Raw genomic sequence first — 18,611 nt, forward strand, 5'->3', positions numbered from 1 at the left:
GTGAGGTTTGTTGTCTCTTTGCTAGGGAGAGGCGTAGGTGGAAGATTAACAGACACAGGTTTAGAATAGAGTGTAATAAGTTTGCCACATCTATTGTAATTACTTGGCACAACCATCCAAATTCATGCTTAAATTTTGTTAGATTGAATATTGCTCAGTTTGAACTTTTAATGATGTCTTAATAATAGAATGCTTTTTAATAACATTTTTCAGGTATGTAGTCAGAACCAGGCTATCTTCATGGTCCGCCTGGTTTGTAGCCTGATTTTCTCTGGGTGTAAAGTGAGGAAGGTTTCCACTCCCTGCTGTAGCCTGAAGAGAGCTCTATTACCTAGTTCCAAGAAAAGATAATATTCTGTTAGATGTTTTTGCTGCTGGAAGCTATTCAAGAATTAGTTCCGAAAAATAAGTAAGATAGTAAAATTGATTATTACTAAAGACTGTGGGGCCCCTTTGGTTAAAAATTGATTATTTTCCCGGGCTTTTGGCCTTTTCTTAGGAAATTAGAGATCTATATATGGGTAAAAGAAGAAAAACATGTTTTAGGAGCATCATTTGTATCTAATATCTGTTCTCTTGATACCTGTTAAACTTTAATCATATAGAAAGATTTGAATAGAAAAGCAAATATGGAGTCAAGCCATATACGGTAGAGGTATAGAAACTTAGAAATTTATAACTAAACGTTATTTCTACCACTTCAGCAAACTGAAGACTATTCACTGATTCATTTAAAATATGTGGTGGCCATTATTATGTGGAAACATAAGATACAATTATCAAAATACTTCATTTGCATCTGGTATGAAAATGTTCGTTTCTGTAAACAAACTTGAATTGTCACTTACCAGGTCTTACAAGATTAGTTTGTGTTATTTGACTTAGTTTGGCTTAGTTGGATGCTGTTGACCACATCTGTGCCTAAATGCATAATGCGTTAGCAGCCCTGAAGGGGTCTCCTGGTCCACCAGTGAGTTGTGGACAGCTTAAGAAGCAAATGAGCTATATCAGAATTGCACAAATTTCAGTGACATTGGAGGAAGTTTCTTAGAGATAATCAACAGCAGGATTGTTGGGCAAGAAGTTCTGAATGTAGGGAGCAGAAGGTGGGTGCTGAACGTGGAGGGGGCCTTGTGTACTGTGTCTGCCATCACTTTTGCATTGTTGGGGCCTTGGGGAGTTTCTGCTGTGCTGGGGTCACAGTTTTTGCCTTTTGGCACATTATGTCATTGTAGTTGTAATTCTTATAATTCATATTTTAGGCTTTGTGGGTAAATATTTAGTACCTAAAAAGTTTAGCATGGGTACTATGAAAAATTTATTTTCTGGCTGGTTGTGGTAGCTCACGCCTGTAATCCCAGTGCTTTGGGAGGCTGACGTGAGAGGATTGATTGAGCCTGGGAGCTCAAGACCAGAGCAACATAGTAAAACCCTGTCTCTACCAAAAAAAAAAAAAAAAAAATTCTTGAAATTAAAAAGACTTGAAGACTAATTTCTGTTTTCAAGTGTCTCCATACCAGTGACATACCGAATTTATATATGGAGTATAAGTTATTTGAAAGTTCAAAGTATTGCTGAGAAAAATACAGTAATGAAATACTACATAAAATAAAAACTGTAAGTGCCAGAGAATTTAATTTCCAAATATTTGGGGATCTCCCAACTATCTTTTTGTTACTGATTTCTACTTTAATTCCATTGTGATCTAAAAGCATGCAGTGTATAATCTCTGGTTTTTTGAGTTTATTAAGGTATGTTTTATGGCCCAGAATTTGGTCTGTCTTGGTGAATGTTCCGTGTGAGCTTCAGAGGAATATGTGTTCTGCCGTTGTTCAGTGAAGTGGTCTTCAGATGCTCATTATGTCCAATTGATTGATGGTGCTCTTGAGTTCTGTCAGTCAGCAACTATGTTTTGACTGATTCTCTGCCTGCTGGATCTGTTCATTTCTGATTGCGTGCCCTTGAAGACTTCCATTGATTCATCGGTTTCTCCTTGCACAGTTCTATCAGCTTTTGCCCTACAAAGTTTGATACTCTGTTATTAGCGGCACACACATTGAGAATTGTTACGTCGTCTTGGAGAATTGACCCTTTTTCATTATGTAATGCTCCTTACTACCACTGGTAACTTCCCTTGCTCTAAAGTCTGCTCTGCCTGAAATTAATATAGCTCCTCTAGCTTTCTTTTGGTTAGTGCTAGCATGGTATATCTTCCTTCATTGCTTACTTTTTGAAAAGATTTATTATAGTAAAATATGCACTAACATAAAATTTACAATCTTAACCATTTTTAAGTGTAGAATTCAGTGGTATTAAATACGTTGATAATGTTGTGCAGCCATCATCCGTCTCCATAACTCTTTTCATCTTGTAAAGCTGGAGGTTTTTACCTGTTAAACAATAACTCCACTTCTCCCAGCCCTGGGCATCCATTATTCTACTTTGTCTCTGTGATTGTGACTACTCTAAGTACCTCATGTACATGGAATTGTACAGTATTTCTCTTTTTGTGACTGGCTTATTTCACTTAGCATAATGTCCTCAGCGTTTATTCATGTTGTCGCATATTGCAGAATCTCCTTCCTTTTTAAGGCTAAATAATACTCATCATATGGCTGTACCCTATTTTGTGTCTCCATCAGTGAACACGTGTTGTTTCCATACATTAGCTACTATGAACAGTGCTGCTGTAAACATGAGTGTACAAATATTTCAGGACCCTGCTTTCAGTTGTTTGGGGTGTGTACCCGGAAGTGGAATTGCTAGATCATATGGTAATTGTATTTTTAATTTTTGGAGGAACTGCCACCGTTTCCTACAGTGGCTGCACCATTTTACATTCCCACCAACAGTGCACAAGGGTTTCAGTTTCTCCACATCCTCATTAACACTTGTTATTTTCTGTTTTGCTTTTTTAATAGTAACCATCCTCAAGGATGTAAGGTGGTATCCCATTGTAGGGCTTTTTGTCTTGTGTAAATGACCACAGATACATTGTAGTTTTGATTTGCATTTCCTTAGTGTTTAGTGATGTTGGGCATCTTTTCATTGTTCATTGACTATTCGTATATCTTCTTTGGAGAAACATCTATTCAAGTCCTTTGCTCGTTTTTGAATCAGGTTTGTTGTTGTTGCATTTTAGTTCTCTTTCTATTCTGGATATTAGTCCTTTATCAGATATATGATTTGCAAGTATTTTCTCCCATTCTGTGGGTTGCCTTTTTACTCTGTCGATAGTGTCTGTTGACGCACAACATTTAAAAATTTTTCAGCCAGGCACGGTGGCTCACGCCTGTAATTCCAGCACTTTGGAAGGCCGAGGCAGGCGGATCACGAGGTCAGGAGGTCGAGACCATCCTGGCTAACACAGTGAAACCCCGTCTCTACTAAAAATAAAAAAATTAGCCGGGTGTGGTGGCGGGCACCTGTAGTCTCAGCTACTCGGGAGGCTGAGGCAGGAAAATGGCGTGAACCCGGAAGGTGGAGCTTGCAGTGAGCCGAGATCACGTCACTGCACTCCAGCTTGGGCGACAGAGCAAGATTCCGTCTCAAAAAAAAAAAAATTTTCATGCAGTCCAATTTGTCTATTCTTTGTTGCCTGTGCCTTTGGCGTTACATCCAATAAATCATTGCCAGATCCAGTGTTGTGAAGCTTTTGCTCTCTGTTCTCTCCTAAGAGTTTTGTTCTTTCCTTACATTTAGGTTGGTAATCCATTTTTTAGTTCATTTTTATATATGGTGTTAGGTAAGGGTCCAACTTCATTCTTTTGCATGTGGATATTCAGTTGTACCAGTACCATTTGTTAAAAAGACTGCCCTTTTCCTGTTGAAGGATCTTGCCATCCTTGTCAAAAATCATTTGACCATATATCTGAAGTTCCAGTTTTGGGCTTTCTGTTCTGTTCCATTGGTCTGTATGTCATGCTGATACCACACAGTTTTGATTGCTATATCTTTGCAGTAAGTTTTGAAATCAGGAAGTGTGAGTCCACCAGGTTTGGTGGGTTTTTTTGTTGTTTTGTTTTGTTTTGTTTTGTTTTTGTTTTTTTTGTAGAGATTGTTTGGGTTGGCCGGGCACGGTGGCTTACACTTGTAATCCCAGCACTTTGGGAGGCTGAGGCGGGCGGATCACGAGGTCAGGAGATCGAGACCATCCTTGGCTAATACAGTGAAACCCTGTCTCTACTAAAAATACAAAAAATTAGCCGGGCGTGGTGGCACGTGCCTGTAGTCCCAGTTACTCGGGAGGCTGAGGCAGGAGAATCACTTGAACCCGGGAGGCGGAGATTGCAGTGAGCCAAGATCGCGCCATTGCACTCCAGCCTGGGCAACAAGAGGGAAACACTGTCTCAAAAAAAAAAAAAAAAAGATTGTTTGGGTTATTCAGGATCCCGTGAGATTCTATATGAATTTAGGGTGGATTTTTCTATTTCTTCAAAATACATCATTGGCATTTTGATGGGGACTGCATAACTGCATTGAATCTGTAGATCACTTTGGGCAGTATGTACATTCTAACAGTATTGTCTTCTAATCAACAAATATGGTATGTGTTTTCATTTATTTATGTTTTTTTAATTTCTTAGAGCAGTGTTTTGTAGTGTGTGTTTGTTTGTTTGTTTGTTTGAGACAGAGTCTCCCTCTGTTACCCAGGCTGGAATGCAGTGGCATGATCCCGCTCACTGCAACCTCCACCTCCTGGTTTCAAACGATTCTCCTGCCTCAGCCTCCCGTACAGGCACGTGCCACCACGCTCAGCTAATTTTTTGTATTTTAATAGAGATGGGGTTTCACTGTGTTAGCCAGGATGGTCCCAATCTCCTGAACTCATGATCTGCCTGCCTTGGCCTCCCAAAGTGGTGGGATTACAGGCGTGAGCCACCGCGCCTGGCCTGTTTTGTAGTTTTTATGATACAACTCTTCCACTTCTTTGGTTAATTCCCGTTGGTGTTTTGTTTTGGTTTTGGTGGTTTTTTTTTTTTTTTTTTTTGAGACAGAATCTCACTTTGTCGCCTACGCTGGAGTGCAGTGGCATGATCTTGGCTCACTGCACCCTCCACCACCCAGGTTCAAGCGATACTCCTGCCTCAGCCTCCTGAGTAGCTGGGATTACAGGCATGCGCCTCCATGCCTGGCTAATTGTTGTATTTTTAGTAGAGACGGGGTTTCACCATGTTGGCCAGGCTGGTCTCGAACTCCTGACCTCAAGTGATCCGCCCGCCTCGGCTTCCCAAAGTGCTGGGATTACAGGCATGAGCCACTGTGCCCAGCCCTAAATTATTATTTTTGATGCTGTCGTGAATGGAATTGTTTTCATAATTTCCTTTTCCAACTGACCATTGTTAGTGTATAGACATGCAGCTGATTTTTGAGTGTTGATTTTGTATCTTCCTACTTTGCTGAATTCATCTATTCTAACAGACTGTTTTTGTGGAATCTTTGGAGTTCTCTACATTGTAAAATCATATCATCTACAAACAGAGATAATTTTACTTCTTCCTTTCCAGTTTAGATGCCTTTTATTTCTTTTTCTTGCCTGTTTGCTCCGGCTGAAATTTCTAATACTGTGTTGAAGAGAAGTGATGAAAGCAGGCATCCTTGCCTTGTTCCTGTTATTTAAGGAAAAGCTTTCATTCGTTCACCATTGTTTGCTGTGGGTTTTTCATATATGGCTTTTATTATGTTTTGGTAGTTTTCCTTCTATTCCTAGTTTGTTGGGTGTTTTTGTAATGAATGGGTGTTGAATTTGTCACATGCTTTTTCTGCACCAGTTGTGATGATCTTTGGCTTTTTCCAGTCTGTTAATGTGGCATATTAACATTGATTACTTTTTATACATAGAATTATCCTTGCATTCTGGGAATGAGTCCCACTTGGTCATGGTGTATGAATCTTTTAATATGCTGCTGAATTCAGGTTGCTAGTATTTTGTTGAGGATGTTTGCATGAATGTTCACAAGCGATACTCGTTTGTAGTTTTCTTTCTTTTTTTTTTTTTTTTTTTTTTTTGAGACAGAGTTTTGCTCATTACCCAGGCTGAGTGCAGTGGTGTGATCTTGGCTCACTGCAACCTCTGCCTCCCGGGTTCATGTGATTCTCCTGCCTCAGCCTCCAGAGTAGCTGGGATTACAGGCATGCACCACGAGGCCCGGCTAATTTTGTATTTTTAGTAGAGACAGGGTTTCTACATGTTGGTCAGCTGGTCTCGAACTCCCGACCTCAGGTGATCCACCCGCCTCGGTCTCCCAAAGTGTTGGGATTACAGGTGTGAGCCACCGCGCCCGACCCTGTAGTTTTTCTTACAGTGTCTTTGGCTTTGGTATGGGGATATGCTCAGGACATGAGTTAGAAAGTGTTCCCTCCTCTTCAGTTTTTTGGAAACTTTGAGAAAGATTGGTATTAATTCTTTAAATATTTGGTAGAATTGACTAGTGAAGCCATCAGGTTTGGGGCTTTTCTTTATTGGGTGATTTTTTTTTTTTTCTTTGAGACGGAGTCTTGCTCTGTCACCCAGGCTGGAATGCAGTGGCACAATCTCCACTCACTGCAACCTCCGCCTCTCAGATTCTAAGCGATTCCCTGGCCTCAGCCTCCAAAGTAACTGGAACTACAGGCACATGCCACCACACCCAGCTAATTTTTGTATTTTTAGTAGAGACGGGGTTTTGCCATGTTGGCCAGGCTGGTCTCAAACTCCTGACCTCAGGTTATCCACCCATCTTGGCCTCCCAGAGTGCTGGGATTACAGGCGTGAGCCACTGCGCCCAGCCTATTGGGTGGTTTTTGATTACCAGTTCAATCTCCTTACTAGTTACAGGTCTGTTCAGACTTTTCTATTTCTTTATGATTTCGTCTTGATAGGTTTTGTGTTTCTAAAAATTTTTTCATTTCATCTGTTTTATCCAGTGTGTTGGTGTACAGTTGTTCGTAATACTTTCTTTTTTCTTTGAAACGGCATCTCACTCTGTCACCCAGGCAGGAGTACAATGACATGATCATAGCTCATTGCAGCCTCAAACTCCTGGGCTCAAGCATTCCTCCTCCCTTGGCCCCCCAATAGCTGGGATTACAGGCATGTGCCACCACTCCCAGCTAATTTTTTTTTTATTGTTTTGGACTCTTCCAGAGAGAAGACAGGGTCTCACTATGTTACCCAGTCTGGACTGAAACTCCTGGGCTAAAGCAGTCCTACTACCTCAGCCTCCCAAAGTGCTGGGATTATAGGCATGAGTTACCAAGCCCAGCCAATACTTACTTACTTTTTTTTTTGAGACGGAGTCTTGCTTTGTCACCTAGGCTGAAGTGCAATGGCACCATCTTGGCTCACTGCAACCTCTGCCTCCCAGGTTCAAGAGATTCTCCTGCCTCAGCCTCCCATATAGTTGGGATTACAGGCGCCCACCACCATGCCCGGCTAATTTTTGTATTTTTGGTAGAGATGGGGTTTCACCATGTTGGTCAGGCTGGTCTCGAACCCCTGACCTCAGGTGATCCACCCACCTGGACCTCCCAAAGTGCTGGGATTACAGGCGTGAGCTACAGCGCCGAGCCCAGCCAGTACTTTCTTATAATACCTTTTATGTTTTTTTCTTAATTTTAATTTAATTTTCTGCTTTTTAGAGATATGCTTGCTCTGTTGCCCAGGCTGGAGTGCAGTAGCACGATCATAGCTCACTGGAGCCTCGAACGCTTGAGCTCAAATGATTCTCCTGTGTTAGCCTCCCAAGTAGCTATGATTACAGGTGTGCGCCACCACTCCCAGCCCCTTTTATTTCTGTGTAATCAATAATAATGTCCCCACTTTCATTTCTGATTATAGTAATTTGAGTCTTTTTTTTTTCTTACTCCATCTCACTAAAGTTTTGTCAGTTTTGTTTCTCTTTTCAAAGAACTATATTTTGGTTTCATTGATTTTTTTTTTCCCCTATTGTTTTTCTATTCTCTATTTCATTGATCATTAATCTCTGCTCTAAATTACCTTTCTTCTGCTAGCTTTGGGTTTAGATTGTTCTTTTTCTAATTCATTAAGATGTGAAGTTAGGGAGGGTTTTTTGTTTCATTTTATTTGTTGTTGTTATTGAGACAAAGCTTACTCAGTTGCCCAGCCTGGAGTGTAGTGGTGCGATCTTGGGTCACTGCAACCTCGACCTCCTGGGCTCAAGCAATCCTCCTGACCCATAGTCTCGTAGCTTGGACTACAGGTGTGTGCCACCATGCCCAGCTATCTATCTGTCTGTCTATGTATTTATTTACGTAGGGACGGAGGTCTCACCATGTTGCCCAGGTTGGTCTCAAACTCCTGGGCTCAAGCAGTCCTCCTGCCTCAGCCTCCCAAGGTGCTGGAATTACAGGCATGAGCCACCACGCCTATCCTAGTTAGGTTGCTGATAGAGATCTTTCTTGTTTTTTGATGTGTTTGTAGCTATACATTTTGCTCTTAGTGCTTGCTTTCACTGCGTCCCGTAAGTTTCAGTATGTTATGTTTTTGTTTTCATTTGTCTCTAAGTATTTTCTGCTTTTCTTTGTAATTTCTTTATTGATCCATTGGTTGTTTCCATCCCTTTACTTTTAACTTCTCAGGGTTTTTTTTTTTTTGGTTTTTTTTTTTTTTTGAGACAGAGTCTTCCTCGGTCGCCCAGGCTGGAGTGCAGTGATGCGATCTCGGCTCACTGCAAGCTCCACCTCCTGAGTTCACACCATTCTCCTGCCTCAGCCTCCCAAGTAGCTGGGACTACAGGTGCCCACCACCATGCCCGGCTAATTTTTTGTATATTTAGTAAAGACAGGGTTTCACCATGTTAGCCAGGATGGTCTCGATCTCCTGACCTTGTGATCCGCCCACCTCAGCCTCGCAAAGTGCTGGGATTACAGGCGCGAGCCACCTTCTCAGGGTTTCATATGTAAAGCAGGTTTCTTGTAGACATGTATAGTTGTGTTTGTTTGTTTTTTTATTTTTAGAGATGGACTCTTGCTATGTTACCCAAGCTGAACTTGAACTCCTAGCCTCAAGCAGTCCTCCCACCTTGGCCTCCTGAGTAGCTGGGACTATAGGCACATGCCACCATGCTTGTTGTTTTTTGATGTACTCTGATAATCTTTGTCTTTTCATTGGTGTATTTGACTATTCACATTTAAAGTGATTTTTTGATGTATTTAGATTAATATCAGCCATGTTTGTAATTGTTTCCTATTCATTATGAGTCTTTTTCTGCCTTCTCTACTTTTAATTAAGCGTTTTATGGTTTTATCTCCTCTGTTAGTATATCAATTTTATTTATCTTTTTTAAAATTTCTGCAGTTGCCCTGGAGTTTACAATATACATTTTGAACTAATCTGAGTCCTTTTTCAACTAACTAATGTAAAAAAGGTAACATTTAACAGATTACTCCCGACCCTTCCCTATTCCCTGTGACATTGCTGTCATTATTTTCACTTATCCACATGTTTATCACCCAGTACAGTGATGATGATTACTTTCAACAGTTATCTTTTAGATGAATAATAATAAGAAGAAGATATTTTACTTTGTCTTTATTCCTTCTCTAGTATTCTTCCTTTCTTTATGTAGATCCACGTTTCTGACCTTCTATCTGAAGGAAATCTTTTGACATTTCTTGCAGGGCAGGTCTGCTGGTGATGAGCTCCCTCAGTTTTTGTTTGTCTGAGGAAGTCTTTATTTCTCCTTCACTTTTGAAGGATAATTTGGCTGGACACATAATTCTAGGTTGGTGGTTTTTTTCTTTGAACACTTTAGAACTGTTTAACTTCCCTCTGTCCTTGCTGGCATGGTTTCTGATTTCTGACAAGATGTCCTCTGGAATTCTTTTCGAATTCTTTTCCCTGTTCTTCTGTAGGTCCACTTGCCCCCACCCAGCTGCTTTCAAGATTTTCTCTTTTTTTTTTTTTTGTTTTTTGTTTTTTGAGACAGAGTCTTGCTCAGCCGCCCAGGCTGGAGTGCAGTGGCGCCATCTCGGCTCTCTGTAACCACTGTCTCCCAGGTTCAAGTGATGCTCCTGTCTCAGCCTCCCAGGTAGCTGGGATTACAGGCTCCCGCCATCATGCCCGGCTAATTTTTGTATTTTAATAGAGATGAGGTTTCACCATGTTGGCCAGGCTGGTCTTGAACCCCTGACCTCAGGTGATCGCCTGCCTTGGCCTCCCATAGTGCTGAGATTACAGGCATGAGCCATGGCACCTGGCCAAGATTTTCTCTTTTTCTTTGGTATTCTGCAGGTTGAATAGAATATGTCTTCATGTAGCTTTGGGGGTATTTATTCCACTTGATGTTCTCTGAATTCTTTGGATCTGTGCTGTCAGTTGTTAATTTGGAGACTTTTTAGCTATTACTACTTCAACTGTTTCTCTAGTCTCTCCTTCCAGCATTCCACTTACCAGGTGTTATATCTTTCGAAACTGTCCCACAGGTTTTGGATGTTTTGTTCTATTGGGGATATTGTTTCTGTTTTTGTTTTTAATTCTTGTTTCTCTTTGCCTTGCAGTATGGGAAGTTTCTGCTGACATATCTTGCAGCTCCCTGACTCTTTCCTTGGCCGTGTCGTCTCCTGATGAGTCCATCACTGATAGTCTTCGTTTCTCTTAGATTGTTTTTATTGCCAGCATTTCTTCCCATCTCTCTGCTCACACGGCCCCCTTGTTCTTGCATGCTGTCTACTTTTTCCATTAGAGCCTTTGGCCTACCAATCATTTTCAATTTCCTGTATGATAATTGCCATCCATGTTATCTCCATGTTCCTGCAACCATTCAGTTGTCTCTCTCAGCCTCTGGTGAGATTGTTGTTAGACCTTCTTCTGTTCTGCATTCCTAACACTCTCTTGCATGTTTCTCATCTCCTTTTCTCCCAGTTCCATGTTCTGAGAACTTTTTTGGGATCAGTCCTCCAGTTAAGTGATTCTGTAGTGGTGCCTAGCCTGCCACTTAAGTCCTGATTCTGACTATATTTATTATTTATAAGTTTTAATTTACTTTTTTTTTCCAAAGATACTTAGTAGCTCTTTATATTCTCTTGTTCCTTGTTTTTTTTTTCTTTCTTTAAGCATTTCACACATAGTTACTCTGTGTTTGAATGAAACCTTGAGCATCCAGATTCGTTTTCTGCTGATATCACCTGTGATGTATTATTTCCTTTTGCGGATGGAGTATATTAGGAGGTTATGTTTTGCTCAGCTTACTCTGTGAGAACCACAGCCCTCCATAGTGGATGCTTCCCTGTGAGGGTTGGCGTCTGCTGATGCGAGAGCTGCCTGAGACCTGGGCTCCTCTTGAGGGCCTCCAGACTGCTGCCCCCACACGTCACTGTGGCGATGGTGTACGGCTGTTCCTTCCCCTCACCTCCACCTCGCTTCTCTCATGACCTCCTGATACTTCTTTTCATCCTTTGCCTTTGTCGATAGCAGTTGGTTACCAAAGTGTTCAGTGTCATTTCTCTCAGATCTAGAGCTAAGTAGCCCCTCTTACCTAGCAAGGCCCAGACCAGGGGGGAAGAACGGCCTTCAAGAGAAGAGCAAAGCCGAGCAGGTGCGGCTGCATTTTGCTGCTCCTTCCACGTGGCCTAGGAGTAGGAAGTTAACGACTACAGGGCCTGAATCTATACCGGAACCCAAGGCATGTGACTTTGAATCCTGGGTCTTTTTCATCCAACACGGAGGATGTACTGTGAAACAGTTGGTGTACTAAGAAACGGCCTAGAAGTGAAGACAGGGATGTCTCTAAGTCTCCACTGAGAACTTTGCAGTGGAGCATTTGCAGTGGCCACTGGGTTCTGGCCCTCAGGAGTTCAGTGTATCAAGTGGAGCCTGGTGACGTGGTGTAAGGGGAGGACCGGGTGCCAAGTAGCCTTGGTCCCTTGTTAGCTTCGAGGGCCAGGGTGTATCTTTACACTCCCTCTCTGGGTTACTTTGAGACTTAAGTAAAACCACTGGAAACGCATTTAATACAGTTAAAATATGATTCAGTTAAATATAGTTTAAAGTATAAGTGCAGATTTAGATTGGGCAGGTAAAGCTATGTGGATAATAGGGTCATAAATAGGTTGCAATATGGGGATCACATTGTGATCTTCGACCTGCATGTTCTTTTAGAGCTGAGATTCAGCTCTTCCAGCCTGAAAACTGGCACAGCCAAAGCAAAGATGGTCCTTCGCCTCTTTACCAATCTCTGGGAGAAATACCAAAAAACCTGTTAAGCAGAAATACAGAGAGTCTGTCATCTTAACCTTTTCGTTACTGGGGATACAACTGGAACTCATTTTTGCTCGGATGCTTAGTGTTGGGAACCTCTCACGTGTGGGCCTCATGACTCAGTCTGCGGCTCTTGCTCCTCATGTCTTGCACCCATGTTCCATGTCCGAGTGGGTGTGGGTGGTAGAGGACAGGCGAGTCACCTAGCTCCTGGATAAACTCAGTGTGTGCGCAGTGGAAAGCAGTTTGTTGTGTTTGCATATTTGTGTCAGAGCTTTCATTTAAAGCAACAGTTTTCCTTTTCTATGGATTACTTCTTTTGTCTCAAAGTGGATAAAAATGCAAAACTTCTGCTAGTTGAAGCTTTGTGGGTTTGTATAACGAGTGAAATTGGTGTTCTGATTCAATAGCGTAGTCCACGTTCTGAGAGAGTTACTTTACAGTTATATCATTGGTGGACTTATAAAGTCATGGTCCAAAAATGGTCTAGGTGACAGACACCTATTTTTTCCTGAAAGAAATCCATAAGCTATTGAGGTCAGTAGGCATCTTCTGCAAAAGCATTAAAGAAAATACAACTTTTTTTGTTACTGATCCCTGTTACTTTTGTCCCTACAACTGGGCTTCCGTTTTTGAGTGTGTGGGGTTCTGAATAGTGTGTAAATCAAATGCGTAGAATCATTGCCGTATGTTTCCAATATTACAGTTATATAGATGCATTCCCTTATTCCTCTAAGCTAGACACTGTTCAGCAAACACTTATTGAACACCCAATATGTGCCAGGCCCTGTGCTAGACTCTAGGAAGACAAAAATCGGTTAGTCTTGGCCCCTCTTTTCAAAGAGTTCACAGTCTAAAGAGAAGACAAAAACATAATCAAAATATCAAAATGTTGTGACTTACAGATGCTAGGCAGAAAAGTAACACCGAAGAGAGAAAATTTTAAATGAGCCCACGGGTGGTTTTGCAGAGGAGGTGATGCTGATGAAATAGGGTTTTGAAGCATAAGCAAGAGCTCTCTGAACACACATGGGTGGTGGAGCCCAGGCTCTCAGCCAGGCTTTTCAAACCTGAAACCAAACAACTCATGGTCGTGTCTTGAGGAGTCCAGGAGGCACTTAACGTAGCTTCAGAGCCCTGAGAGTGCTTCTAGTCATGGTTTACCAGCTGGGCCGGCACAATGGGACTGCTGCTCAAAGCTAGCAGTTTGGCATCTGTCACGGGCTTCTGCCTTTTACAAGAAGGTCCTCAAGACCAAGAAGTCTTCTACTTGTTACTTTTTGTCAATTACTTCTCAGCAAAGCAGCTCTTAGCTTATCGCTGCTTTGTAGAAATGGGTATCTATTGAAATACGTTTTTTTATTTTCCTGGCTCTTGTCCCATGGGGCTCCCTTACCAAAACAATGACTTCAGGCCCTTTACTGTATCCTGGGTGGCCCGTCTGGACCTGTTTATTCCTGCTGTTGAGTCCTGAGTGTCTGCTCTACCCTCCTCTCCCCCTTTGCCTTCCTGGGCCTGTTCCAGGTCAGTGGACTCGCTGAGCTGTCCAGCAGCCCAGAGGGGAGTGCTTCCTCTCTGCTCCGAAGCACTGTGGAAGAAGGGCAAGGTGGAAAGGTTTGGTCGGTTGGTCAGGTGTTTTGTGTCCAGGGACTCTATGTCTATATAAGTAGTCTCTATATAGTAGTCTCTAAGACTATTGTCCTAGAAAATCAAAGCAGTGCACCATCACACTCACTGAATACTTACTATGGGCCAGGCAGTGTGCTCAACTCTTACCATACCCCTGGAGGTAGGTATTTCCAGATTACAGATGAGAAAACTAAAGCACAAAAAGATTGAGTGATTTGCCTGAGGTCACACAGCTAGCAAAAGGGAGAGCTGGCATCCGAGCTCGCCAGACTCCAGAGCCCAAAGGCCAAGACGTGGGACTAGAGTTCAGATCTAGCTGTCACCTGACCGTGCCTCCTCATAGTGGAGCCAGCAGTGGTAGCTCCTGGACTAGATGTGCAGTCCCAGCTTTCATCTTGATAGCTCCAGAATTCCTCCTTTCCTTGCCACCTTCACTGCCATTGCTTCATCCTTTCTCATCCCCTGACTAACCTACTCGTCCTCCTTCCGCCTTCTGGTTCATCCACAGCATTGCCACAAATTGATCTTTCCACAAAGCTGACCAAATCATCTCACTCTGCTGTTTAAATCCCTCTGTGACTCCCCAGCCCCTTCAGAACAAAGTGGTACAAAGTTGTCTTTGGCCTGGCTGCTGCCCACACTCAACCTGGAGCCTGTCAGGGTGTAGCACTGTCATCCCTGTACGTGCGCCATCCCTTTGCTCCTAACCTCTTCCTGTCCTCCCTCTGCCCCAGCCAGGCCAGCAGGATTCTGCCGAACCATCGCCCATTCTTAAGAACCCTCCAGGGAACCCTCCCACTTGAGTTTAAAGAATTCACTACTCATTTCTGCATCCCAGAGGATGTGATGACCAGGTTGCCCATAACTGGGCACTTCTCCTCTCCAGCAGACAGAAGTCCTGCTGAGGGAGAACCGTATGTCTGCCCAGCATTAGCAAGGACTGGGGGAGAAGGGCCAGGACCCAGATGTCCCACCTCATCCTAGAGCGCATATAATTTGGGGAAAGGCAGACATCAAACCAACAGGCTACAAGTAGGTCTCGAATTATAACTGTGGTAAGTGCTAAGAGGGAAAATGACGGATTTTAGTGTGTTCAGTGGGAAGGCTCGCCTTGGTCTTGGGTGTTGGTTCCTGGGAGGTGACAGCAAAGGCAACGCCGGCTTCTCTGAGGAAGCGATCTTTAGGCCGAGGCCTGCAGGATGAGTGCGAGTGTGGTAGCGAGCTGAGGCTTGCACATTCTAGAGCATGGACACAGCACAAGCAGAACTTAGGGCCAAGAAGGTGAATAGGCGTGTGCCGGCCAAGGGGAGGCCTGTGTGTCCAGGGCTTTGGTGAGCAGGAAGGGTGGAGGTGGTGGGCCCAGCTCCCTTGGAACTTTGCAGGCCAGAGCCTTGGGAAGCCATTGCTGCATCCTGAGCAGGGGAGTGACATGCTCGAATTTACATTCAACAAAGATCACTCTGGCTGTAGTGGGGAGAAGGACTGGGAAGAGTTCGTGGTGCAAATGTGCAGGCTGTTGCACTGCGCCACTGTGAGAACATGGTGCTCAGGATCTCCTAAGGAGGTCAGCAGCCAGGGCCTGTTGCCTGGATAGTGGCTGAGGCAGAGGGAGGACCCAAGGGGGCCCCAGCCTGTGCAGGAGCAGCCAGATGGCTAGTGGCTCAATAAATGCATGGATGTTGGCTAGCCAGCTGGCCAGACCCTGCTCACCTTCCCTTGGTGCCTTCAACAATGGTCTGCCCCACAGGGCCCAGGGCGGGGCTTGCCAATGAGGCAGCTCCTTTGAGAACGCCCTGGTCTTTAGAGCACAGTATACAAATTTCTCTAGGTCATTAGATTTGTGCTGTACCTTGCCTGGGTATAAGAGGTCAGTGTAAGGGTTTTATCCATTTTCATCAGTGATTCCAAAGTTGACTTATTAGTGATGATCATTAAAATGCTTGCTGAGATTAAGCCGTAGAAACAGATCTTACGACGCACATGGCACACTCACATGTGACCCAGTAGGAATGTGAGAAGTTACTGAGTTGTCTAAAGTTTGTTCAGATATACTCCTCAAGGCATCGGTTGCTTTTCATATCTACATCTGGTTGAAATTTGACCTGTCGTGTACAGTCTCATAAATCAAGTCCATGTTTTGTGAGATGTGCTCCCCCTGGGCTGAGCTCAGCTCATGGCGAGCACATCCCATGAGGCTCATAATGAATTGTCTGTCTGTAGTTTAACTACTTACCTAGGTAAACAGAATATTAATTTTGATATGTGATTAGAAAATTTTTTTTTGTAGGCTTTACCGCCAGCACCTGTTCAGAATCACACAAATAAGCATCAGGTATTCAATGCATCTCTTCAAGACCATATTTATCCGAGCTGTTTTGGGAATACTCCAGAGTGGAATAGTTCTAAATTTATAAGTCTTTGGGGATCAGAAGTGATGAATGATAAGAACTGGAATCCTGGCACTTTCTTGCCAGATACAATTTCTGGTAAGGAATTTGTTAAAACTTTCTTGAAGTTTTAAAATAACCTGAGTAGACTGACATCTTTGCCGTAGTCTCCCGTGGAAGCCCTGGCGCAGCTGTAGCCAGCTGCTGCTCCACCACCTCTGTCTCCAGTGGGAGGCCCCTCGGGGCTGTCATCCTACTCCATCCTCTCGCATCTGCCACCAGTCGGTCCCACTGTGTGACAGAGCGGAGCAAGACTCTGGCTCCATGGCTGCCCGTCAGCCCGGTGAGCCACATGGGCGTGGCCTCAGCGCTGCTGAGGGTCTCGTGACCACGGTCGGGTGCCCGGCCTTCAATTCTCGAGCAGTGGTGACAGCCAGACCTCAGCCCCCCCGGTGCACAGGGGCAGGAAGAAAGTGCCACAGTTGACTTAAATCTGTGACTCACACTCCTTCCTCTGGTTACTGCATTGGCGCCACGTGGCATCTCTCCCCTTTACTAGCTCCTTACTCCCCAGCTGCCTCAGCCACTGAGGCCCAGCCGTTACTTCAGTCACAGGGTCAGGGGCACCTGAAAAGGGGCTGGTACCTACTCCTCATCTCTGTCTTCCTGCGGCCAGAGCTCCTGGCAGCCCCACACCCAGCCCCTGCATGTGCCAGAACAGCAGGCTAGACTTGACATCCTGATCTGTGCTTAGGAAGGATTTCTAGCTGTGTGACCTTGGGCAAGTTGCTTGGCCTCTCTGAGCCTCAGTTTCTTCATCTTCTTAGGATGGGAGTAATAGTACCAACCTCAGAAAGTAATTTTAAGACTTTACGTAACTTTGGAAAGCACCTAGCACAGGAATTGGCACATAGTAGGTGCTCAATACAATTTTTTCTTAGATTAAAAGCTAGTTGACTTAGTGTCATCCCAGTGGGATCCTGACTTCAGTAGCACCCCCAGTATCAAGTGTTCAGTCATCAGCATGTCTTTTAGGGTTTAGCTAAGTATGATTGCTGTCAGAAGCCTTAATTTTCCTGTTCTTCTTTGAAGGGAGTGAAATATTAGGGCCAACACTCTCAGAAACAAGACCGGAAGCCCTTCCACCTCCATCTAGCAATGAAACACCTGCAGTCTCGGATAGTAAAGAGAAAAAGAATGCTGCAAAAAAGAAATGTTTATACAATTTCCAAGATGCTTTCATGGAAGCAAATAAAGTTGTCATGGCCACGTCATCAGCCACGTCCTCTGTGTCCTGCACAGCTACCACAGTGCAGTCCAGCAACAGCCAGTTCAGAGTGTCATCCAAGAGACCTCCTTCAGTAGGTAAGGCTTGAAGGCTCACTGGCCCTCGGGGTCTGCAGGAAGGCTGGGCTTACTGACTTCTCGTCTTTGTAACTCATCTTTGTAACTGCCTTTTACTTGGCCTAGCCAGAGGCGTAAGTGTAATTAACTGCCCAAAAATGCTCACACACAGAGAGCTGATCCCCTAGGACTTTGATTAGAATTTTAGCTGTTGTGCTAGATTCCTCTGGGGCTTCGCTGCACTGTCTTGCTTTTGTCTCTGTTTCTGTTCTTCTGTGATTTGAGTTAGGGTCTCACTCTTGTTCGCCCAGGCTGGAGTGCAGCAGTGCAGTCTCAGCTCATTACAGCCTCTGCCTCTTGGGTTCAAGCGATTCTCCTACCTCAGCCTCCCAAGTAGCTGGGACTATAGGTGCCCACCACCACGCACGGCTAATTTCTGTATTTTTTGGTAGAGACGGGGTTTCACCATTTTGGCCAGGCTAGGAGGTCATTGCTTTCTGAGCATGTGGCAAGATTTCTCAGAAGCTGCTTTAGGAAAATGCTGAGCAGATGTGAGCTGACAGGGCTGCCTGTCACCCAGCCTAGGGTACAGCCCCTGGCTGTCACTTAGGGGGCCCAAAAGCAATAATGTGATCAGAGACCAATGGCAACTCAGTAGCTGGCTCGAGGAGGCCTCACTAGCCAAAGCTGGGACAGATTGAGCATTAAAAGGAATGAGGAGGCTGAGTGTGGTAGCTCCCAGCACTTTGGGAGGCTGAGAGGGGAGGGTTGCTTAAGCCTGGGAGTTTGAGACTAGCCTGGGCAACATAGTGAGACCCCGTCTCTAAAAAAAAAAAAAAAGTTAAAAAAACAGGAAGTTTGACTATAGCATACAAATAAAGTCAAGAATCCATAAGGATTGGGATGCTCAAACAGAGCAGTAGGGTGGGAAGCTCCTTCTTCTAAAAGCACACCTCCTCTAAATGTGTAAGAAGGATAAGAGTGGCAAGTCAGCATGCTGCACCCCCAGGGTAACAGCTGGTGCAAGTATGCAGCATTCATGGAGGTTAACA

General features: G+C 44.0%; 1 protein-coding gene across 14 annotated transcripts in view; it reads left to right on the forward strand.

Moving 5' to 3' along the window:
* FAM193A (family with sequence similarity 193 member A) overlaps positions 1–18,611 on the forward strand; it is a 197,199-nt gene that overhangs the window by 138,016 nt on the left and 40,572 nt on the right. For 13 of the 14 annotated variants that reach the window (NR_046336.2, NR_046335.2, NM_001366316.2 and 10 more), the window contains 2 exons: positions 16,116–16,314; positions 17,308–17,580. Coding sequence is in view for 12 of the 14 variants with exons in the window: in NM_001366316.2 (NP_001353245.1) it covers positions 16,116–16,314; positions 17,308–17,580 (472 nt within the window). In the remaining 2 variants the exon portion in view is untranslated. Of the gene's footprint in view, positions 1–16,115; positions 16,315–17,307; positions 17,581–18,611 lie in introns of those variants that run through there. The other variant, XM_047416344.1, reaches the window with a different exon arrangement.

This window comes from Homo sapiens, chromosome 4 (assembly GCF_000001405.40).
Source record: "Homo sapiens chromosome 4, GRCh38.p14 Primary Assembly".
Lineage (NCBI taxonomy): Eukaryota > Metazoa > Chordata > Mammalia > Primates > Hominidae > Homo > Homo sapiens.